The 26299-nt window shown below is 32.9% G+C and overlaps 1 long non-coding RNA gene across 3 annotated transcripts in view, besides 1 other annotated feature; it reads right to left on the minus strand.

Annotated features, from left to right (window-relative positions):
- Nucleotides 1–26299, minus strand: part of LOC102724934 (uncharacterized) — a 181069-nt gene that overhangs the window by 16085 nt on the left and 138685 nt on the right. Inside the window, exon 7 of one of the 3 annotated variants that reach the window (XR_001750708.2) lies at nucleotides 25555–25659. The exons of the other annotated variants lie outside the window; for them this stretch is intronic. This is a non-coding gene — a long non-coding RNA (uncharacterized LOC102724934). Of the gene's footprint in view, nucleotides 1–25554; nucleotides 25660–26299 lie in introns of those variants that run through there. 3 annotated transcript variants of the gene reach the window in all.
- Nucleotides 14609–17064: an enhancer, noted in NCBI's record as "VISTA enhancer hs1539". NCBI's record gives its function as "enhancer in: hindbrain (rhombencephalon)[4/5]" and the evidence as "EXISTENCE:transgenic organism evidence [ECO:0001131][PMID:17130149]".

The following is a 26299-nucleotide window of genomic DNA, read 5'->3' on the forward strand; positions in this document are numbered from 1 at the left end:
CTCCCAGGTTCAAGTGATTCTCCTGCCTCAGCCTCCTGAGTAGCTGAGACTACAGGCTTGCGCCACCATACCCAGCTAATTTTTATATTTTTAGTAGACACAGGGTTTCACCACGTTGGCCAGGATTGTCTCGATCTCTTGACCTCGTGATCCACCCGCCTCCCAAAGTGCTGGGATTACAGGCCTGTGCCACCGCGCCCAGCCCCTGCAAGATATTTTTCTGTCTGTTTCTCAAATGAGGTAGTTGAGGCATAGGAAGGCTAAGGGAGTTGCTATAGGTCAAGTAGTGGCTTAGAGATTCCTGCATAAATATGCCTAAATCCCAGGTTCATACTCAGAACTCTACTCTGTTCCTTCTCTAAATTTCAGCCCTTAGAAATTAACCATTTAGTGTTGACATTGGAAATGCCACATGATGATGCAGGCACATGATTTACTTCCCAGCAATGGGAATGAAGTCACAATAGGACAACTTTTAAGTTTTGAAGATAAAATGAACTAGTGTTCATATGTAACATATGTAACATATAGAAGAGGTTCAAATGTGTTGCATATGATTATAATTATTATTATTAGTAACAAAGCCTCACAAAATGACATGGGTTTCAATTTTATAGTACATATATTGAAATCAGCTCAAGGGAAACATACAGTGTCCAGGAGAGGGAAAAAAAAGTTCAATGATGTTACCCCAAACAGTTCCTTTCATTTTGACTTCCACAGTTTCATCTTTGAGCTCAAGAGGACCATGTGATGTGATTCATCCTGGTTGAACTGATTGTGTAGTTAGGAAAACAGAAAGCAACACTCCCTTTTTGCTTCTACCAATAGCACACTCAAAGAGATGGAATTTGAAGCGTCATCTTTTAAATGAAACATTAAATTCAAGGACAAGGACTTATAATCCACTAAGATTTTCTTTAACAGAAAATAGTTGGTCTCAGTGTTTGTGCTTATGTAAATTAACCATCAAAAATTATCTAATTCTATTTCCCTGTGTGTGTGTCTCATCACTACTACAAAGAATGTGTGTATGTGATTTTTTTAAAAAAATTACATCTATGGTAAAATGACTAACATTTTATTAAAATAATGGTAGAAGTGACTGCCTAACATGGGTAAAGCAGAAGAGAATGAGATATTTCTACATTTTGGTAAAAGGGAAATTTGGGTCCTGAGTTTAACAGGTGATACAGAAACATAAACTTTTATTATAAATCATGTACTATAGTGATTTGGTAAGGTAAGGAGATGAGATGAATGATAGAAAAGTTGTAGAAATGGAAAATTTGTTGTTATTTCAAAAGTTGATTAGATAAGCAGTTATGAAAAATTAATTGTAGTAGTAGAGTATTTCCAGGCTGTAAAGAATGAATTGGTTCATGAGTGCCACCCCCTAGGAATTACAGGTTGTGTATTCAGTGATCACAGAGTATAGTGATTCACTGAAGGAAGACACTGTCATACCTGAGGTCATTGCAGACTTTTCTCAGTAACAAAAACATAATTGGTCCTGTATGTGATTAAGAGTTTTCTATAATTTCAATACACAGGTATTTTTAAAGATTGATTTAACTAATACCAGGATTTTAGCAAATTGAATTTAGATTTTCAAAATGTGTGTAATGATATTTTTGAAGTTTCAAATGTTTAGAAGAATCTTAGTCTAAGGGATAAATGTTATCCCTAACTGAACAAATTAAACATTTGTGGCATAAAAAATTTAAGATTAGAATTTACAAAGTTCAAACAAGAACCATTTTTTTCTGTACAAGACCAAATGAAGGCACATGCTACGTCACTACATGTACCAAAAATTCAAATTACCTAATATTCCTGAGAGCAATTATTTCTGTCAGTGACAGACTATTAACCAAGAATTTTGTTTTGATAAAATTTATACCAGATTGCCTTTTTTACAAAATTGAAGATATTATTAAAATGATTTTTCACTTCAATTTCCCTCCCCTTCTTAACCAAAAAAATAACAAACAATATAACCAAGAAATCACACTTGGATCATGATCTGTGTTGGACTAGCCCAATGTTTTCTGTGACTTGATCTGTATAAGTTATCAGTAACTAAAATGATTTGTTTGGAATTAAGAATTCACTTAATTGTCAGTAACTTTTTAAACTTAATGATTGCAAAATATTAAGAAAATGCTAAATACAGTAATAAATTGATACATATACTGCTTCTTAGGAGATTAATTCTTTTAACTCTGTGTGTGCCCATCAGGATTGTATGATTTCTTAAACCTCTATTAATTGAGTACACAAATAAGAATATGCAAAAGGTGCTCTTGCATTTACTAATAGTTGGCCTAGCTGTTGAAAAGTTGGTTGAAAAGTGAAAAATTCAAACAATTATCTCATCTCTATCTCTGTATCTACATCTCTCTAAACCAGATATTTGGGACACAAATAAACAATTTTAGCTACTTTGTTCTTCTGTGTAGCCAGTTACCTATTAGAGCAACACTAATTTAATCAATTCAGAATATTTTGCAAAGCTACAGGTGTAAATAGAGTAATAAATTGTGAATATTTTTTTAAAATACAGGAGCTGGGTAGTCATGGAAATTTAGACCACATATTTTTGCCATACTAAAACTCATTTGGTTTCATAGGTATGTCCTATATTTCTAAAAATAGGAAAACTTACAATCTTTAAAGGAGATACCGCATTATATAAGGCTTTTAGTTAACTTCACACTGACAAATTAATAAACATATTGTCAATATACTTTAAAGAAAAAGTTAAGTCAATATTATATCTTCCACACAAGTCCATATTATGAGAACTTACCAATATGTATGCGTACACTGGTACCTGGCTTAAAGTCTGTCATTTAGCTGAGACTCATGCTGAATTAATAAATAAATAAATACATGTAATTATGTAACTGCATGTACACACATTTCTTAAATTTATAATTAATGTTTAGATACTCATCATGGGCACATATCCAGGGAGCCAAACTAAAGTTTTTGACATTAACAATCTCATACATTGTTAAATAATTATGGTCTGCTGGAAAATAAAGAATAAGCATAATTATTTCTCGTTTTAAATAATTAATTTGATTGACAAAATGATACTTTATCCAGAGAGCCAACATAGGTAGCATTCTATTTGAAAAAAAAAAAAAGAAAGAAAGAAAGAAAGAAAGAAAAAAGTTGTAACCTATTCCTACTCCTAGTCCTTAACCTAAAACTAGCATAATGCTCCAGTGGATCAATTTGTCTTACTGTTACTTTGGTTACATAAAAGGTAATCAACGTACTTTAATTTCAAAGACTGGGCTCCCTGGAAAAAAATTAATTAAAAATATCATTTTCAATGCCATTTAATTTATGAGATTTGACTGTCCAGCTATTCTACAGTTGTGTTTTGTTTTTACTCAATGGATTGAATGTTGTGTTTTATTTTCAACAGATGTGACTTTCAGTGCACTGGAGAGCAATTTATGCATTTGGCTTAGAATTTTAAATGAATATACACTCTAATGATTTGCCCAATATAAGTGGTCACTTTAAAAAGTAGTACTGAAAGCAAGAAAAATTACTTAAAGGATCAGTTACATCTAAAATGATGAAATCAATAACAATATTTTCTCTGTGATTCTTTCTCTCTGATAAGCAAAATCATTGCTTAAAAGCCGCATTAAAATTTAATCACAATCTGTGTGCTTTAGTAATTGATAATTTCTGGACAGCTGTCTTCTGCTTTGTTTAAGTCTTGTGTTCCTTGTGTTTAAGTTATGCCTTTTAATAACTGAATTAAGTATGTTTGGTTTTAAAATCAATTATTAAAATATGATCATATTTTATCATCTTCCAATAGTGGCTTATGGTTTTATATTCCTGTACAACAGTGTTAAAACTGGGGTGAAAACCTCATGAGTGGTTAAATTACTAGAAACTTATATAAATTATACAATCATGTTTTGACCTTAATATATTTTTTCAAATTAAATATGAATAGATAACAATTTGTGTTAATGATCTTAAAATAAGTACTTTAGTTTTAGACTGCGAGCTAGAATCTTCTCTAACTCAGCTTTCTTTAACTTGTGCCTAGTATTTTGTGTGCCATATATTGAATAATAAAAATGTATGTCAAATGATTTCCTAAAGAATTCTTAAAAATATTTTCTTAGATACTTTAAAAAAATCTTAAATTAACTCTAAGAACTATCTCAGCCATGGCAATAGAATGTATACGACATCCTCAATATTTAAAGGGATAGATGATCACTTGTTAAGTATCATTACTTCATTTAGCACAGATTATGTAACAGCCAGTTCAGCAATTATTGCTATTCCATAGTTCCTCCCTCTGTGTGTTTCAAAGGAAAGGAATAAAGAAAGATTATCTTTCAAAGTACTTCCTCTGATTACATCCCTACTCTCTAATCACCTAACACAACTGCCCAGACTTGAAGTGATAATGTCATATTTATTATAGGGTGACTATTTAAGGATCAATATATTCGAAGTTAAACTATGCATTTAAATTTTGAAGGCTAAAATAGCTGACACAGTGATCATATTATATAGCCTTGTGGTAAAATATTTTTTATTATGTTATTTTAAGGTACTCAACTAAATCAATAAGGTTAACTGCATTTGCCAGCATTAGGACCAATAAAATTTGTATCTATTCAATAGCATAATTTATGTGTTCATATTTACTTTTGACTTTGCATGAGATGCTAATTAATTCAATACTTCTGCAGAAACTAATAAATAAGTAATAATTAGATAAACACATTGCAAAAACATAATTTGAAAGGAGCAGATTGAAGTGGCTTGGAAATATAAGTAGCCATATAGTATGTCAATTAAGAGAAAAGCTGAAATATTCCAAATATGTCCACAGTATGTCCAAATATGTCTGCAATATGTCCAAATATATGCACAATATTGCAAAATTTAAAATAGTGCATATTTTAACATATATAGAAAAAGGAGCATGGACCTTCAGGGTGGTTATCTGAAAAATAAAAAAAAATTATTCCTAATGTCAATTCAAAGGTATAATTTACATGAAATTTAATTTATAAGTCAAAATACGTTATTTACATAACATATATTTTGATATATATAAATTATGTAAGACGGGAAAATTATTCAACCATAAGCGGGTACTTGATTCCCTTAAATAAGATTGCTTGTTTGGGGAGTGAAGGGTATTGGAATAAGCGTGTCTTAAAATGCTGTGGCAAGGCCATGTGTTCATATGCCTCATTTTGAACAGAGAAAATGTATCATAAAGCAATGTAAGGATGTGTGTTAGAAAGCATGCAGCAAATGAAGTTTCGTTTCCCTTGAAAGTAGAATCTCCATAAGTTACTAATGTCAGGGTTGTTGTTATCTTTATTTTCACATCATCATTTTTTTCAGTGTTCTATATTCCAGTTTGTTATGTTTAAATGTTCAGGAACTAAAACTGCTTTTACAAAATAACCCTAGAAAACTATAAAAATCACAAATCCTTCCAGGGAATTAATCTGAAGTAAAATCATTTTAACACACTATTTTTTCTCCCAGTAATTTTCAAAAGCATTTTTTTCTAAGATCAGATTTTGACACTATCCTTTTTTTTTCACACTATGATGTGACTCCTCCTATTATTAAACTTTATGGTTTGAAAAGTCTTTCTTATTTTACTGCCTCCAACATATTAGGTTACTTTTTTAAGAAAAGGTGAACATATTAGCATTACATAAAATGTTAAAGTGACAAAGAGTTAAACTAGGAATTTTAGATGAATACACTAGCAGTTTGCCATTCTGACAGCAAAAGCCAAGCTAGTGCTTAAAAAAATGCAAGTTTGAAAAATGCAAATGGTGTTATCCAAATATGCAGCCATATGTCCATAATACACACATTTTTTGGGGAAAAATTTGTAAAGATTTCTATCACAGAATTGTATCTCAAAATGGTGGGGGTCTTGTTTTTTATATTGTGTTCCCATGAAGATGGTAAGATATGAAATTATGTTTCAAAATCTTTTAAATATATTAGGATGGAAAAAGACATTATTTTTAGGTTTTCACGGGAATTTGGCTCTATGTTTTAACATTCCATTTTGAGTAGGTGCTCTACTTTATCTATAATATAGCTAGCAAAATTTTCCAAAATATCCAGATTCTAGTCACAAAATTTTCTATTCAGACAAGTAAAGTTTAAAACATAGTCTCTTTGAACAACAAGTTAACAGTCCTTGGAAGTCAACATCTATGAGTCAAGGAAGAACCATAATTAGTTTGAATAATGCTGAGCTGTGAAATTTGGATAACCTTTAAGAACTTTGCTCTGTTGATCACAGCGTCAATAACAATAGGCGAGTGGAAGCCAAATGCAAGTGGTGAAACCTCCAACAGGAAAATATCAATTAATCTTTTTCAATAGAGTCGAAGTAGGTGTAATCTTCTCATTAAATAGTTTGAACCTTTTTCCAAGTAAACAAAGAAGGGATAATGAGTGATGCCATCCGACTTGTTTACATGGAGAATCTTCAAGAGGCTTAAGCATAACCTCTCAAGACAGAGGTCTTCTTAGCCACTGGTCACTAATTACCCTCTTTTAAAGATGTTTGTATAAGCAAAGAGACTGTGTTTTTAGACTTAACCTGAGAATGCCATTTAAAGTGCCAATATTTTATACTTAAGCCAATATATTGAGCAGTACCAAAATTCATGGGATCCTCACAAACCCCCCAAAGAAAAATTATTTCCAATATATATTTGAATAAATGTTCATTCTCTTAAAATTCTGACTAAAAGAGCTACTTCTATTATAAGAAATAATTCATGCTTAACTGCTAGAGACAGGGTATAACTACTGATTGAACTACAGCACCCTCAGACCTCCAATTGCTGTGAAAATTCTGGGTTGGAAAGGAGAAGAGAGGACTGGAATTAACATCTGTTGTGTCATCTGCCAACCAGTTTGCCCTTGATATTTAAGCAATTTCAGTAAATACGTTCTTCAGTCCACTTGTCACAATGCAAGTGTCATTTAAAAATCACTTGATGCTTTCAAGTTGTTCTATGATATAGGCACCAATAGGTGTTAATTATTGTTACAAGCATTTTTGATGTACCAGGTATATGTCTGTAATGGACCTAAAGGAAGAGAATTTTACCATGATATTTAACAAAGGCCCACATTTCTTACCGTGCTTATTCTTAATATTGGTATCTCCATGAGCTTATATGTGACTGAATATATATTAATGAAATGAGTATCAGTAACTTTAAGTCGGCAACAGCGTAGTTGTAATTTCTAAAGCAGTCTGTGTAAGAAGTTTGATTTGCTAAATTAATCAGCACAAAAACTTATAGAAGATGTGGTCAAAATTATAAATAAAGAGAGATGAAATTCTTAAACAATGTTAACTCCAGTAAAATGGATTTTTTTTTTGCTACTAACTCAGTTTCAACAATTTACATTTACAGTGCTATTTTGATACTCTCTTTGGATTCTGCTCTGTGGATTAAAACATGAAAGTGTAAGAGCTTTACATGGAGTTCAATACAAAGAGAAAATTTACGTTTTCATATCTATAATTTGTGATTGCTGTTTTCTTTATATATTAAAACAGTATGTATTTTGAAGTAAAATTTTATTATTTCATAAAACAAATAAACCATGAGAACATATGATTTATGTAGTTATGAATTCTTATAAATCTATGCTACTCTGAGGATGAAACTTAAAGATGGACAAATTTGGAAGAAAACTGAGATAAGTCTATGGCTTTGTCAATGGTATCTAGTGTTTTAGTAATATCTAATATTGGAAACATCATCAGATTTTAGCATCAGAAATTTGATTCTAATGACATTTGAATGTTTTGTATGCCACAGAAAGATTTCAAAAACCACCAAATTTTTAAAAAATCTGCATATATCTAATTATGTAACAGTAGATAAGTTGCTTAAGTGCAATTTTCTTGTCTATAATATGGAAAGATTTTATTAAAACACCTTTAAGAACCCTTTCAAGCTCTCTGATTCTATGAATATGATACAGATATTAGTATGGGCAAATAAACAAGAATCACTGCTTGTTGTTTATTTTAATGTGTTCCAATAATTCCTTTATACTCTATTGATGGAGATTGTGTGTTATTCTAATAAAAATTTAGAAAAATTTATTTGTGTGTGTAGGCACAAATCTAGTAAACATATGTGAATAAATATATGATATACTCTTGTAATTGAAAGTGATTCTGGGAAAAAATAGAATTGCTTTTTAATAGAACATACAGTAGATGTTTTGGCCTTATTTAACAGTGTGGTGAATTGTTAAGAAGAGAATGAATTATTTGTAGTGACACCAAATGCTCGTTGTGTATAGAAAACCTTAGTCAAAGTTTACTTTTATTATGTTTTGTGTGGTTGATGAAATTCCACAGCATCTAAACACAAAAAACATCGTACTTATTAAAATCACACACAAAATATCCTTCTGCCCTTATGCTTGTTTATTTTTCCAAGTTTCTGTTTGTTAGAGATTGTCTATTATTGGAAAATTAATTTAGAGACGCATTTACACCTACACAGTCACCCATTTGATTTCTAGATACTTGTGGAATAGCTCACTGTTGGTTAAATGAGAGGTGTGTTGGCCAATTAGCATACAGTTGGGCTTAGTCAATTTGCATATTTCTGTGTCTATTACTAGAAGCTACTTTCTATGCCACTCAAAACTTTGTAATTTGGTGAGATTTTATAAGCTATAAGCAGTGATTATAACTAAGAAATGCCATTATGTAGCAAATATAAATAAAACTTTTTAAAATTACATTTTTGCTTATTTGTTTCTTAAAAGCATATCTGACCTCAAAGAATATCATTAACTTTGCCTATCTGCTTTTAAATATATATATTCCCAAATAATATTTGATTCATATAAAACAGAGAAGGTATTCAGTATATTTGTTACACGATTGTATGAAGAAATTATTAGTATTAAATGCACATATTTGACTTTGCCAGGTTAGAATGTTTTGTAATTGTTAGCATGATCTGACAACTAAGCAGGAGCAATTTTATCTTCTTCCTGTTTATATTATCTGTAATGCAAAAGACAGCTTCACAATCCTCAGAAGAATCTTAGTGTTTGCCAAGTACATTTCCCCCCTGACATTCTTAAATGCAGTATTTTCATTTTATATTATGCCATGTGACATAAAACCAAAAAAAAAAAAGCCTACCCTAGTTGTTTAAGCTCTTATTTCTCAGAATAGAAAAACTGCATTTTATGTATCATTTGTTAATAGGTGAGATTTTACTGGAAAAAAAAAGTAGACCATTTACTTTGGGAGAGACAATACATTTTTCAAAATATGGCAAGAGTGTCAAATAGCAGAACACTGTTCATTGATCTGAATAAGATTATTATAAATTGATCTGAATAAGATTATTATAAATTGTTCTCCACCATTACCATGCTGTTACCCAGACTAGTGCTTAAGCTAAACACCAGCCAGTCAGCCTGAGTTGCCAATGAGATAGAGAGACTATCAGAATTCCTTGAAGAAGAAAAGGAAGGTTGGTCTGTACACAGAAACAAGCTCAGTCACTACCTCAAGAATATTAGTAGAAGCAGAAAATTAGTGCTCTGATTTTACCACAATCATACATCTTAGGAAACAAGTCAGAGTTGAAACTTAATAATTACCTTAGCTTCATTAGTTAAGGAAGGGAGAACTAGAACAACCTCTAACCTTCACTTAAGAACAACTTCCCTCATGGGGTCCTTAACCCCTTGCCGTTTTTACAATAGAGAAAGAAGAAATTTATAGTCTTTCAGCCCCTGCTCTCCTTGCTTTGAGTGAGGGGGATTGAAACACTTAAAGTAAGCAAAGAGAAAGAAAAGTCACAAATGAGTCACTAAGTGGAATAAAATCTGTGCTTTCATCAAAACCTTCTGTGACTCATCGATATTTTTTCTCCTCCACAATATACCATGGTAAAGTCACTGCCTTAGTCACTCAATCAAGGGAGAATTGCATTTGAGTTCATTTCTAAAAATGAAGTCATAAAATTTCTCTGAGTGAAAAATGATGAACTATATTAACTCAGTTTGCATACATCCCAAACAAGGCAGGGAAGAAACCTGATTTGTAACTGTTGATGTCACTGGAATTCAAAGATGTGTACAATTTCTAAGCTTGTTTTCCATTCCAATTTGGTGAGAGAAAGTATTTTCTTCAATTATGTGGATTTCCAAAATTTTTGAAAATTTTCTTACAAGCACAGTTAGCTAATTCTTGGGATCTGAGTAAATAATGCTATGATATAACAAAAACCAAAAAAATATAGAAATCACAATGTGTTAGTATTTATAAAAAGCTATACCTGTCCAAATAAGCAATATAAACACTGAGTGTCATATAGACCTCATAGATTTATTTTAATTCAAATTAGAAACTACAAACCTCAGTCAGTATCATGAAGTAGAAAATGTTATAGATAGATATAGTTAGATACATAGGTAGGTAGATAGGTAGGTAGGTAGGTAGATAAATGATATAAAGAGAGGGAGACAGAGAGAGACAAAGAGAGAGACAGAGGGAATAGATAGCTATTTCCTTAACTGTAAGGCAAAATTAAAAGGCAAAACTGTAAGGCAAAATTAAACAATAAAACCACAAAATACCTGATGAGAACTCAAAAAATTTGCAAGTTTCTCCATGGCTAGATTTTATTAAGACTCAAATAAGGCTTTAAAGACAAAGTGAAAAGATGGTCAGGATAAAATGAGAGTTGGTCTTTAATTCAGGTAAACTAATCTTCTTAATACACCATTCTGATTTGGATTCAATGCCTATTTGGGACTCTGGAGAAACTAAGTTATTTATTATAAGAAAGTGCTTGGACTCTAAAACTGTGACCAAAAAAAAAAAATAATAATAACACCTATGGCACTGTACATAAAACAGTTACAGCAAATAAAAAAAATCATATCTTACTGTCTATAGATATTTTTGAGTAGATATTCTTATATTTGTCTGAGAATATACAAATGTTATTTTTGTGTGTAATGGCTGTCTTTTGACATCCATTTTGAGAGGTAAAGGCTCACAACTTGTCTGTAAATAGGCCAGATTGCTTAATATGGCTTTGAACTAATGTATTATCAGAGTACCCCTCCAGTGCTTTGTTTAGCTGGGAAATTTTCTGCATGGAGTCGAGAATCCTTGTGCTTTAGAAGTTCATTCTGAAATGTTCATTGCTACTTTTAGGAAGTTCAGTGAATGCGACTTTGGCAACTTAATCTCAATAAAGGAAGATCACCTCTTCAAAGTTCAGAAAGTGCCATCATTCTGACCTTTGTCACATAGCAGGAAATGAAGAGTAGCACCATGCCCTTTCTTCCTCTTTTCCCTGTCCGTGTTTCTCAGTTCTTGACCCCTCTGTCTTCCTCTATACAAGAGAAATGACCTTATTTTACCTCTGTAATCCCCCAATAAAGGCACTGAACCCAACTTCTTGGGGTTAATTATCTGATCTTCTCTGGTCATCTTCCTACTCAAATCCTTTGTGCTGTTAGAATTTCCATCCAATTGTTGCGTTGCTTGCCCATTTGTTGGACCCTAGCAGGGCAAAGTCAGGCTAACAAAGGACACAATCTTTTAGATACTGATATGAAATATGTATAAAATAGGAAATATTATGTATGTTTGTCTATTTTAAAAGAAATACAATCTTTGTTTCAATCTCAATCTAAAACAAGATTTACCATCTCTTTTAACAAAGCCCTCAGGAGAGTTTGTCCAAAAGCTGAACCAAATAATTTTCAGGAGAGATATATTACACACTAAGTTCTCAATTTACCACCTAGGAGAATATTATAAAATGCAATAATACATGCACACGCAGACACAACATTTAAGCTATGTGTAGTTTATTTTGAAACGGTGTTTTTATGCAAATTTAAAAGTTCATTATTATTTTAAATGTATGAAATATTATATATTTTTTAAAAGGCATATATTTATAAGAAAAATTTGATTTTGCCTTATTTGTGTCAATTTCATTTGGATTTTCTTAAAGGCCCAAGATGTTCAAATACTCCTTATCACCACTGCATTTCTTACCCATTTTTGATACCTAAGATATGTAAAAGAAATGGATTAAGACTTTATGGCTGCTAGAGTAAGTTAGCCTTACAATTTCCAAGTGAAGCAGAAAATATATATTTACTCAATGCAAAATCCTGAGTTGATATTTAGCTTTATCCATACATACAGGTCTAGTGTTCACCACACTTGTTCTAGTCATTAATCACTTTAAAAGTCATATTGCGGCTGGGCACAGTGGCTCACACCTGTAATCCCAGAACTTTGGGAGGCCGAGATGGGCAGATCACCCGAGGTCAGGAGTTCGAGACCAGCCTGCCCAACATGGTGAAACCCCATTTCTACTAAAAATACAACAAAATTGGCCAGGCATGGTGGCACATGCCTGTAATCTCAGCTACTCGGGAGGCTGAGGCAGGAGAATCACTAGAGCCCTGGAGGCTGAGGTTGCAGTGAGCCGAGATTGCACCGTTGCATTGCAGCCTGGGCAACAAGAGTGAAACTCCATCTAAAAAAAAGTGATATTGCACAGATAATTTTTTCAAGGAAGCAAAACTATGGAATTTCAAGCTTTCAAGGCCAGCCCAGAGGAAAATCATAAATAATAATAATAATAATAATATAACAATCTAAAGACTCTATTTCTGATGTATCTTGCATAGGACCCTTTTGAGAAAATGTAACCTTAAATAAAATATGTCCACAGGGAGGGAGGCATAGGGTTCAGATAACACAAATCAATGGTATTCTAAAATGGAATTTATAACTTCTGTGACTTGTCAATGTTAAATACTAAAAACCTGTAAGCTCCAGACATAAACGCCTTCAGAGTGTGCTTAAGGAAATAAGCTCTCAGATTTAATACAATTTAATCTCATGACTACAAATCAACTATCTTTCTCTTATAATTTGTTGTTATGGAAAACTATGAACTCTTAAGTGTACTTAAAACCAGGAAATGTTCTTCTTAGTTTATACTAGTTATCAAAAGCGGTGGAAGAACATAGGAAGCTAACTCTGAGAAGCGGATATCTTTAGTAAATATGACTAAGGGATTATGACTTTTGTTGGTCACAGTGAATTGCCAGAATCCAGTGATTCAGGCAATTGTTTTTGCTAAGATGGTTTGATATAAGGTTATTTCTTTCAGGCGTAATATTTTTTAATGTCAGCCTTTACTAACCAAAGGAAAAGAGTCATGAAAAATGGATGAAGAAACACATTTTAATCTAATGAATCATATCCTAAAAAATGACCAGCAAGTATAGTAGAGACATAATAGATTTCCTAAAGTTAAAATTACTAGTTATTTGCATAATCCCAACATTTGTCTGTTAAAACTAAATGTACCCACATATTTTTTTGTTTCAAAAAAGAACAGCAGGCAAAATAGCCATAGAGTGAAAATTCATGGATCTGACAAAAATTATATATGATAAAGTCGATTTATGCTGAATAAATCCCCAATTTACTTTTTCTTTATTCGAAGTTTGAATATAGAACTGCTTCTTAGTTTTATGCCAACTTTTGAATAAATGAGTCATAAGAAGTAAAGCTATTTGTTGATAACAGAAAATATAATAACAGTAATCACATTTTGACATTTCTATTGCACCTTTCACCTTGATAAAATCTAAGGCAATTAATCTGAAAGTCATTTCTCTACTCAGAATTTTCAAGCCCCAACTAAATCCAGTTATCTTCTAAGTTACCTCGAAGTGTAAGCAGAGCATCCACTGCCCTGTTGGCCTGTCAACCTACATGAATAGCACTTGCTGCTAACAGACTTCTGAGGCCAGGTGAATGTATATGGACCTTTAAATAATGGCCAGTAGGTCAAAAAAGCTAATGTCATTTCATATCCAGTAATGAATCATACAACTTCACTGACATTATATGTCAAGGCTAGGTATGCCCAGCCACTAAGCAGTTAATCTGTCAACCCAACAGAATATTAGTATCTTGAAGTTTTAAGGGCACTTGTACATTGTATAATTTAAATTCCAGCCAGGAAACAGGAAACAGTTTTACAACATTTCTGTCTTATCAACTGACTGTCTTAACATCTTCAGTAGATGGGCAATTCTAAGTGTCAGGAGAATATCTATGTTGTCTATAGGTTTAATCTTAGATGCCTATTTTTTATGTTGCTAAACACATATAAGACTTTCTAAGTATTTAAAAATCTGATGAATAAAAATTTAAAACACTATGCTAAAGGTACTAGAGGTTAAAAACCTCTAGAGTTTTTAATTGAGTTAGAAACACTATTGTAAAGGTTGGAATATAGCTTCACAGCACAGTGGTTGCACAAAGGAAGGAATAGCCATTCTACCTGGGTAAAAGAGTAGATCAGATAAGGCTTCATGGACATAATGTTTTATGGAAAAAATGTTATGCAAAAAATAGTATGGAATAAAATTTTATTTGCATTATTACCTAAGTTACATAAAGAAAAAAATGAATAACAAAATGAAGGAGGCCAATGTATTAAACATGGTGCCTTTGCAGGCTTGAATGATGGTTTTTGTTTTGTTTTGTTTTGCATAGTTAGGGGATCATGTAATATTTGATATTCAGGTGAAAAAAGTCAAAACAACAACAAAATTTGTGGGAACTAGAATAAAACACATTGGGTCTACTTGAGGAAGAAGATGATTTTTTTCATAATCACCCCTTTCCTACTTTAATTAGCTAGCATCAGAGAAGAGAGTACTTTCAAGAGAAAGGGTAAAGAATCCTAAATGGATCTACCACAGAGACAAACTTAATAATTCTACTACCTCTACAACAGTTAGATAACATTCACCGTGAGACAGCTGAGTATATGTCGGCTTCTAAACTATAGCATGCAGGCACGTAAAACAGTATTTGCATTAACACACTCTTTATGAAATGAATTTGAAAGACTTTTCTGAGTTGTCCTGAAAAAAAAAAGCAGCCTCCCACAGCTGGCTCCTCTATTTTTGGCTTCTCCTATCCCTGTTTTCATGGCAGCTGAGAAATATTAATGTGAGAAAAGTATCTTTTATTTTAGTCTTTAGAAAAGAACTCAACAGAAAACCCTGCAACTTCAGCAGTAGATGATAAGAGTTCCAAGATCACACTGTGGAAGTACATTATTGAAACAACCTGTAGGAAAGGGAACATAATATAAAATAATATGTTCCACTTACATATGACATACCCAAAACTTATGCTGTTTACATATAATGATTAAATTAACATATTTTGCCAAAAGTTAATAGGTCCCCTAGGAATGATTATATAAAATAGGTTTGTAATCAATCTCATACAGAGAAAAGGCACAGTGGAAGAAAAAAGATTTATTTGATCCACCACCATTCAACAGAAACAAGTGATGAATAGATCTATTTGAAGATTGGAGAAACATTTAGCTTTATGAGAAATTTTCCTCCTGATGTTTCCTATGATACATGCATACATATAAAATCAAATGCTTCATGACATTAATCTAGAAAAAAAGTACCTGCCACATTTGATTCAGCAAACTGGCTTTTAAAAAGAAATACAGAATTTTAGTCCCATATCCAAACCACATTTGAAAGAGTAATGACAAGTTACTTGAGTTTTATTGACTCAATCAGATCATATGGTGAGTCATTTCCAGACATATCGATAAACTCATTGATTCCTCTCATTCTTGTAGTCACTGGACTATAGAAAAAAGGATCAGTAGCCATTTGACCTTCATTGTGTATTAAACAAACACCAGATGGCAAGGATTCATTCAGGAAATCCATTCTTTCTTCTTCATAGTCATGTTCACACTGTTGCTTCCCACTGAGCCTTTATCTCTGTTTGTCATGGTGCCAGAGCTGCCTGCATAGCACCTTTCATGCATCACAGCTTTCAAATCTTGTCCCATTAGTTTCATTTTGTTTCCATCATAAATAATCTTCCACTTTCTCATACACTCTTTCATTATCTAATAATGGGCTGGGTCATTATACAAAGGAGCCAAGTATTAAAGGGTTAGTGAATACAGTTTGTCCACTTGGTTTCTGGCCAGTGTGTGAACTATTTATTAAACAGATGAATTTATGCAACTAAAAAAAAGAGAGACCTAAAGAATACAAACATCCTCATCCTGCTAACAAGTTTTCAAGAACACTAGACATAAAAATGAGGACATTTTAATCTCAAATTGGAAACTTTAAAGCACTATACCATGAGCATTAATCTAATTCAACCTAATTATTTCAAGAAACACACAAAAGCAAATACGCTATCCACTGAAACATTCCATCACTATTTCTTTCCTTGGCCATTCCCTAGTCTCATTTGGACATCAGCCAGCCATCTAGAAGTGTTGAAATGCTGGTAAGCATTAACAAGCCAAGTGACTCCATTCTAACGGCATTATCCTATGAGTAAATTTCACAGAGTCCAAGAAGGGAGGCTTGTCTTTTTGGACAATGTTGTACACAGACAAAATAAGAAAGCTGGACGTTATGTAAGATTTATCGCCGACACTACAAAGTTTAGTACAAACAAGGAGTACTCTCTGGTCTCAGCAGAGTGGTTCCTCAGTGTTCATAGGAAGTTAAATGTTGAGCAAATAAAGTATGCTGACAGCTAAAATCAGATTCTGCCCATATTTAAGGAAAAGTTAAGAAGTTTAGAATGCAGCGTGTAGGATGCTGTGAATATGTCAGCACTGAGTTAAGTCATCCCAGACTATTATTCTTACAGGCAGGCCAATTATCAGGGGATAATTAGACTGATAATGAGCATTCTGACTGGTTGAGAGGTTCCTCCGAGGGTAGAGCACCCCCTGCCCTTATAAGGCTGTCCTCTGTGCCAAGAATGGTATGTTATAAATGGGACTTTTAAAAGAATATCATATTTTTGAGAAAAACAAGTTTACACTGATTAAAAATAAGGTGTTGAATTCTAAACTTATTTTTAATAATGAAATCCTTGTTCCATACAGCTATGTAGTGAAACAAAATGGAGGTAATTCAGCTACTTTGTTTTTTTGTAAAATATTTCTATTCTATGAAAGTATCTCAACTATATCTAGAAAACTGGAAAAGAATAAAGACACACTTATGATCCCATCTCTGAGGTGGGTGGATCACCTGAGGTCAGGAGTTGAAGACCAGCTAGCCAACATGTTGAAAACCCGTATCTACTAAAACTACAAAAATCATCCAGGAATGGTGGCACACCCCTGTAATCCTAGCTACTCAGGAGGCTGAGGCAGGATAATTGGCTTGAACCCAGAGGCAGAGGTTGCAGTGAGCCGAGACCACACTTCTGCACTCCAGCCTGGGCAACAGAACGAAACTCCATCTAAAAAAAAAATAGAGGCCGGGTGCGGTGGCTCATGCCTGTAATCCCAGCACTTTGGGAGGCCGAGGTGGGCGGATCACGAGGTCAGGAGACCGAGACCATCCTGGATAACACGGTGAAACCCCGTCTCTACTAAAAATACAAAAAATCAGCCGGGCGTGGTGGTGGGTGCCTGTAGTCCCAGCTACTCGGGAGGCTGAGGCAGGAGAATGGTGTGAACCTGAGAGGCGGAGCTTGCAGTGAGCCAAGATAGCGCTGCCACTGCACTCTAGCCTGGGCGACAGAGCGAGATTCCGTCTCAAAAAAAAAAAAAAAAAAAAAAAAAAAAAAAAAAAAAAAGGAGTCAATTTAAATCTGGAGTTTTAAATACATTTTAATGCACTGCTGTAGCATTTGTATGAGTAATTATTCTATTATGTACTGTTATATGACAGCAGTAAACTCATCATATTAAGCCCTACATATGACAACATATTTAATTAAATATTTTCTGCCTGGAATCCTCTTTTCTTCTTTCTTCCAACAGTTAACTTCTACTTAATCTTTGACTCCAGCTTAACTTTCAGTTCCTTAGGGAGAATATTTCTTTGACTCCCCTGAGCCAAATTCTTATTATGCACACTTACACACTGTCTCTTCCTAGCCCTTATCGTAGTATGTGATTATTTGATTAATGTCCATCTCTTCCAACCAATAACAACCTCCATAAGGGCAAAGTGATTCCACTTTTGCTTAATATTCTATTCCAGAAGAGGATCAGGCACATAATAGGTGCTCAATAAATAATCGTTGAATGAATGAATAAATGAACAAACTTAAAGCATTTTCTGTGTTCTTCCAGACTGTGATATGTAAAGAAAGAAGAGCAAATGGTTTGTGTATTGCCCTATCAATAAGAGTACATATAGCTAAGGATGGCATCTGCTCTGATTCCATCACCTCAGCACTTTGCACTTGAATGTCATTGGTCAACCAGCACGATCCTAGAAGAAAATAACAGAGCTGCAATCATGTGAATGACGGTATAGGAAGAAAAAAAAACGAGAAAACAGGTAAAGAAAAATAAATTGCTTAAAGCTCCCAGTAGTCCCAATTGTCGATAATTGTTTACTGGGAACAACATTTTACTTTGAATGGAAGAAACTTCTTCATGGCTTTCAGGATGGCTTCTGGTTTCATATACAGCTACTCAGGTTAGAAAGGCTAGAAACTTGAAAACTACATTAAAAGCAATTCATCATATACTGCTTCATTTCACTGAGTTCAAACTACAGAATAAAAATAACCAACCATTTCCAACCTAAACTGTAAGTCACAAACCTTATCTCAAATGGCAACTTAAATCTCTTTTAAACTCTGCTCAATTTTTACCAACATTTACAAACCTCATCATGTGTTTCAATTTTATCTCAATTGCTAATATGGTCTGAAATACTTGGTTAATGGTGTAGAAAATTCATTTTTTAAATAACTGACAATTGCCCATTGTTTTTTATTATATAAATTGGAAATTCAATTGTAAATCCATATATAAATAAATTATGTTTCAGTACCTACAAAGTTTTATGTTTTATGGCAATGTATGTTTTAAAAGTCTGAAAAATTAAATTATTTCATTGACCCTTTTTTCTCTCACCAGCATATTATTAAGAAAACTCAGCCATGGCATGTAATTTTTCAACGAATAAACTATGTTTTAGAGAAGTTTTAGGTTAGAGAAAAATTGAGAACAAAGTACAAAGAGTTTTCACGCACTATCAACATCCCACACCACAGTAGTACATTTGTTATAATCAATGAACCTAACCTACACAGACACATTATTATCATTCAAAATTCATAGTCTATATAAGGGTTTACTCTTGGTGCTGTACATTCTACAGTTTTGACAATTTATAATGACATGTGTCTACCATTGTAGTACTATACAGAGTAGTTTCACTGCTCTAAAAATCTTCCATGCTTCGCCTATTTATCCCTACCTCTCCCCTAAACCCTGGCAATCGCTTATATGTTTACTGTTTCCATAGTTTTTCCTTTTCTAGAATGGCATATAATTTGAATTACATAGTGTGTTAGTCTTTTAAGACTGGCTTCTTTCACTTAGTAATATGTAGTTAAATTTCCTCCATGTCTTTTCATGCCACGATAGTTTAGTTTTTTAAGCACTGACTAATATTCCATTGTCTGAATCTACCACAGTTTATTTATCCATTCACCTAGTAAAGGACATCTTGGTTGCTTCCAAGTTTTGACAATTATGAGTAAAGCTGCAAAAAACATGCATTTGCAGGTTTTTGTGTGAAAATAAAGTTATATTCATTACGTAAATATCAAGGAGCACCGTTGCTGGATTGTACAGTAAGAGTGTGATTTGTTTTGTAGAAAACTGCCAAACTGTTTTTGAAAGTTACCTTGAATTCTCATCAGCAATAAATGAGAATTTTGTTGCTCCATATCCTCACTAACCTTTGGTATTGTCAGTGCTTTAGATTTTGGTCATTCTAATAAGTGTGTAGCGGTATCTCATTATTGTTTAAATTTGCAGTTCCCAATGAAATATGATGTCTAACATCTTTTCATGTGGTTACTTGCCATCTGCATATCTTCTTTGGTGAGAGTCTGTTCAAGTCTTTGTCCATTTTTATTCAGGTTGTTTATTTTCTTATTGTTGAGTTTTAAGTGTTCTTAGTATATTTTGGATAACAGATGTTTATCAGATGCGTCTTTTGCAAAAATTTTTCTCCAAGTCTTTAGTTTGACTTATTCTCTTCACATTGGAGTTCACAGAGCAGAAGTTTTGAATTTTAGTTTGGTAGTTTCGCATTTTACATTTGGGTCTATGATTCATTCTAAGTTAATTTTTGCAAAGGATTTAAGGTTTAGACATAGGTTTTTTTTTTTTTTTTTTTTTTTTTTTTTTTTTTTTTTTTTTTGCATGTGCATGTTTAGTTGTTCCACCCTTATTTGTTGAAATGACCATCTTTGCCTACTTGCATTTCCTTTGATCCTCTGTTAAATATTAGTTGACTATATTAATACGGGTCTATTTCTGAGCTCTATTCTGTTACATTGATCTATTTGTATATTCTTTCACCAATGCCACACTGTCTTGATTAATGTAGCTTAATAGCAAGTATTATGTCATCGGAGTGTGTTAGTTCTCTGACTTTGTTCTTCCCCGTCAATATTGAGTTGGTTATTCTGGGTCTTTTGCCATTCTATATAAACTTTAAGAACAGTTTGTCAATATCAAAAAATAAAAATAAAAATAAAACTTGCTGAGATTTTATTCGGACTGTATTGCATCTATAGTTCAAGTTTGGATGAAGTGACATCATGACTATATGGAGTATTCCTGTCCATGGACATGGACTCTCTCGCCAAATTTTATTTAGATTTTTGTTGTATTGTTCATCAGAGTTTTGTAGTTTTTTCCATAGAGATCTCGTACGTGTTTTGTTAGGTTTATACTTATTTCATTTTTTAGTGGTAACTAAATGGTAATGTGTTTTTAATTACAAATTTCACTTTTTATTGCTGGTATATGAAACTGATTGACTTTTATGTACTAAACTTATATTGTGCACCCTTGCTAAAATTGTTTGTTAGTTCCAAGAGATTTTTTGTCAATTTTTAAAAATTTTCTACATAGATAATCATGTCATTTGCAAACAAAGAGAGTTTTATTTTTTCTTTCTATATCTGTATACTTTTTCTTTTCCTTTCTTTTCTTTTTGTCTTATTGCATTAATTAGGACTTCCAATATAATGTTGAAAAGCAGTGGTGATAAGGAATGTCTTATTTTGTTCCTTATCTAAGTGGGAAAGCCTAAGTATTACATTAGCTATAGATTTTTCTATTTTTTTTTAATCAAGTGAGGAAGTTCCCTGTATTCCTAGCTTCCCAAGAGTTCTCATCATGAATGGAAGTTGGATTTTGTCAGATGATATTTTTGAATTTATTAATATGATCATGTGATTTTTATTCTTTAACTTGTTGGTGTAATTGATTGCATTAACTGACTTTCAAATGTTGAATGAGCTTTGCATGCTTGGATAGGCCCAAGTGGTCATGGTGTGCAATTCTTCTTAAATATATTGCATTGGATTTGCTTATATATTTTGAGCATTTTTACATCTATGTTCATGAGAGATATTTATCTAAAGTTTTCTTTACTTGTAATGTATTTGTCTGCTTTTGGTATTCAGGCAATGCTGGCCTTATAGAATTAGTTTGTAAGTATTCCCTTTGCTTACACCTTCTGGAAGAAATTGTAGATAATTTGTTTAATTTTTTTCCAAATGTTTGGTAGAATTCAACAGTAAACCAACTGTGATTGGTGTTTTCTGTTTTATAGGAATACTGATTATGGATTCCATTTCTTTAATAGATATAAGACAATTTATGTTGTCTAATTTCCACTGTGTGGACTTTGGCAGGTATATCTTTTAAGAAATTTGTTCATTTTATATAAGTTACCAAATCTGTGGGCATAGAATTTTCCATAATATGACTTGATTATCATTTTAGTATCAATCATATCTAAGGTGATGTCTCCTCTTTTATTTCTGATAGTAGCGTTTTGTGTCTTTTCTCTTTTTTTCTTAGGTATCCTGGCTAGAGGCTTATCAATATTATTGATCTTGTCAAAGAATCAGCTTTTGGTGTCACTGATTTTCTTCTATTTCCTGTTTGCAATTTTGTTGATTACTGCTCTGGTTTTTATTTCCTTTCTCCCGCTTATTTGGACTTAATTTGCTCTTTTTTTCCCTAATATTTTAAGGTGGAAGCTTAGATAATTAATATTAAATCTTTCTTCTTTTCTGTTATATACATTCTATGCTATAAACTTTCCTCTATGCTGCTTTTGCTACATCCTACACATTTTGATGAGTTGTATTTTCATTTTAATTTGCTTTATATGTTTTTTATTTTGAGATTTTTTTCTTGGAAGCAATTGTTATTTAGAAATGCCTTATTTAATATTCAAATATTTTGGGATTTTCCAGCTTTATTTCTGTAGTTTATTTTTAGTTTAGTTCCACTGTGGTATTAGAGCAGATATTGCATAATTCCTGTTCTTCAAAATTTGTTAATATATGTGTTATGGCTCAGAATGTGGTCTATCTTGAATGTTTAATGTATTCTTGAGAAGAATGTGTACTCTGTTGTTGTTCAATGAAAAAGTCTATAGATGTTATTTATGTCCAGTTGATTAATGATGCTGTTAAATTCAACTATATCTTTACTGATTTTCTGCTCAACTGATTGGTCGATTGATAGATTTATAATAGATATGTGTTAAAATCTCCAACTGTAATAGTGTATTCAACTATTTCTCCTTGCTGTTTTATCTATTCTTTCTTCATGTGTTTTGACACGTTGTTGCTAGGCACATACACACCAAGGACTGTTAGGTTTTCTTGTGGTATTTTCCCCTTTATCATTATTTAATGCCCCTCTATATGCCTGATACCTTTCCTTGCTCTAACGTCTGGTTTGTCTAAAATTAATATAGTATTCTCACTTTCTTTTGAGTAGTGTTAGCATGGTATATCTTTCTCCTTCCATTTACTTTTAATAGATATGCATCTTTATATTTACAATGAATTTTTTTTAGGCGTCATATATTAGGTCTTGATTTTTGATCCACTTTTACTATCTTAGTCTTTTAATTGATGTATTTAGACTCCTGATTTTTAAAGTAACTATTGCAGATGACATGATTGTATATCTAGAAAACCCCATTGTCTCAGCCCAAAATCTCCTTAAGCTGATAAGCAACTTCAGCAAAGTCTCAGGATACAAAATCAGTGTTCAAAAATCACAAGCATTCTTATACACCAATAACAGACAAACAGAGAGCCAAATCTTGAGTGAACTCCCATTCACAATTGCTTCAAAGTGAATAAAATACCTAGGAATCCAACTTACAAGGGACGTGAAGGACCTCTTCAAGGAGAACTACAAACCACTGCTCAACGAAATAAAAGAGGATACAAACAAACGGAAGAACATTCCATGCTCATGGATAGGAAGAATCAATTCCTGAAAATGGCCATACTGCCCAAGGGAATTTATAGATTCAATGCCATCCCCATCAAGCTACCAGTGACTTTCTTCACAGAATTGGAAAAAACTACTTTAAAGTTCATATGGAACCAAAAAAGAGCCCGCATCACCAAGTCAATCCTAAGCCAAAAGAACAAAGCTGGAGGCATCACACTACCTGACTTCAAACTATACTACAAGGCTACAGTAACCAAAACAGCATGGTACTGGTACCAAAACAGAGATATAGATCAATGGAACAGAACAGAGGCCTCAGAAATAAAACCACATATCTACAACTATCTGATCTTTGACAAACCTGAGAAAAACAAGCAATGGGGAAAGGATTCCCTATTAATAAATGGTGCTGGGAAAACTGGCTAGCCATATGTAGAAAGCAGAAACTGGACCCCTTCCTTACACCTTATACAAAAATTAATTCAAGATGGATTAAAGACTTACATGTTAGACCTAAAACCATAAAAACCCTAGAAGAAAACCTAGGCATTACCATTCAGGACATAGGCACGGGCAAGGACTTCATGTCTAAAACACCAAGAGCAATGGCAACAAAAGCCAAAATTGACAAATGGGATCTAATTAAACTAAAGAGCTTCTGCACAGCAGAAGAAACTACCATCAGAGTGAACAGGCAACCTATAAAATGGGAGAAAATTTTTGCAATCTACTCATCTGACAAAGGGCTAATATCCAGAATCTACAATGAACTCAAACAAATTTACAAGTAAAAAACAAACAACCCCATCAAAAAGTGGGTGAAGGACATGAACAGACACTTCTCAAAAGAAGACATTTATGCAGCCAAAAAACACATGAAAAAATGCTCACCATCACTGGCCATCAGAGAAATGCAAATCAAAACCACAATGAGATACCATCTCACACCAGTTAGAATGGCAATCATTAAAAAGTCAGGAAACAACAGGTGCTGGAGAGGATGTGGAGAAATAGGAACACTTTTACACTGTTGGTGGGACTGTAAACTAGTTCAACCCTTGTGGAAGTCAGTGTGGCGATTCCTCAGGGATCTAGAACTAGAAATACCATTTGACGCAGCCATCCCGTTACTGGGTATATACCCAAAGGACTATAAATCATGCTGCTATAAAGACACATGCACACGTATGTTTATTGCAGCATTATTCACAATAGCAAAGACTTGGAACCAACCCAAATGTCCAACAGTGACAGACTGGATTAAGAAAATGTGGCACATATACACTGTGGAATACTATGCAGCCATAAAAAATGATGAGTTCATGTCCTTTGTAGGGACATGGATGAAATTGGAAATCATCATTCTCAGTAAACTATCACAAGAACAAAAAACCAAACACCGCATGTTCTCACTCATAGGTAGGAATTGAACAATCAGAACACATGGACACAGGAAGGGGAACATCATACTCTGGGGACTGTTGTGGGGTGGGGGGAGGGGGGAGGGATAGCTTTAGGAGATATATCTAATGCTAAATGATGAGTTAATGGGTGCAGCACACTAGCAGGGCACATGTATACATATGTCACTAACCTGCACATTGTGCACATGTACTCTAAAACTTAGAGTATAATAATAATAAAATAAAAAAAAATAAAGTAACTATTCGTATAGTTTGATTAATACTTACTGTATTTGTTACTGTTTTCTGTGTTTATTGCCTTTGTTCCTATTTTTGTCTTTACACTTTTTCTGTCCTTTGTAGGGTTAATTGAGCATTTTATTTGATTTTATTTTATCTCCATCCTTAACATATAATTCTTTTTTTACTTGTTTTGTGTTTGTCCTCAAGTTTACCATAGATATGTATAACTAATCTAAGTCTACTTTCAAATAGCACTATAAAATACTTGTAAGACAAGTAGCATATGATAACAATTCTAATTCCTTTCTCCAGTTCTTTCTATTGTTATCATTTATTTCCCTTATGCATAAGCATATATATATACATAAGCATATACAATAAAATACATTACTGCTATTATTATTTTGAGCAAACTGCTATTTGTTAAATTAAGAACTTTAAAAACAAATTAAGAAAAATTTTACCTTTACTTATTTTTTTTCTAATGCTCTTTCTTTATGTAGTCCGAAGTTTCTGACGTATATCATACTCCCTCTCTCTGAAGAACTTCTTTTAATTTTTCTTGTATGGAAAATCTATTAGCAAAAAAAAAAAAAATCCCTCAATGTATTTTTGTTTGAGTTAAGTCTTTATTTCTCCTTCATTTTCAAAGAATAATTTCACAAGGTCAGAATTCTAGGTTGGTTTATATATTTTTTTAACATGTCACTCTACTCTCATATTGCTTGCAGTGGTTCTGAGGAGAGTTTGGATGCAATTCTTATCTTCACTCCTCCATAGGTAAGATTTTTTTTTTCTTTTCTGAGTTTTTTTCTTTATCTTTTATGTCCTGAAGTTTAAATATGATTTATCTAGGTGTAGTTTTTTTTGTCATTTGTTCAGCTTACTGTTCTCTTCGCTTTCTGGATCTGTGGTTTGGTGTTTGACATTAATTTGGAAAGATTCTCAATCATTATTGCTTCAAAGATTGCTTCTGCTCCTTTTTTTCTTTCTTTTCCTTATGGTATTAGCATTAAACATATGTTACATCTGTAGTAGTTGTCCCACAGCTCTTGGACATTCTGTTCTCGGGTATTATTTTTTCCAGTCTGTTTTTCTTTGTTTTTTAGAATTGAGGGTTTTTATTGTCATTGCCTAAAACTCAGAGATTTTTTGCCCATCAAAGACATGTTTCCATTCAAAGGCATTTTTCATTTCTGTTGTAACATTTCTTAT

The sequence above is a fragment of the Homo sapiens genome, chromosome 14, assembly GCF_000001405.40.
Source record: "Homo sapiens chromosome 14, GRCh38.p14 Primary Assembly".
Taxonomy (NCBI): domain Eukaryota; kingdom Metazoa; phylum Chordata; class Mammalia; order Primates; family Hominidae; genus Homo; species Homo sapiens.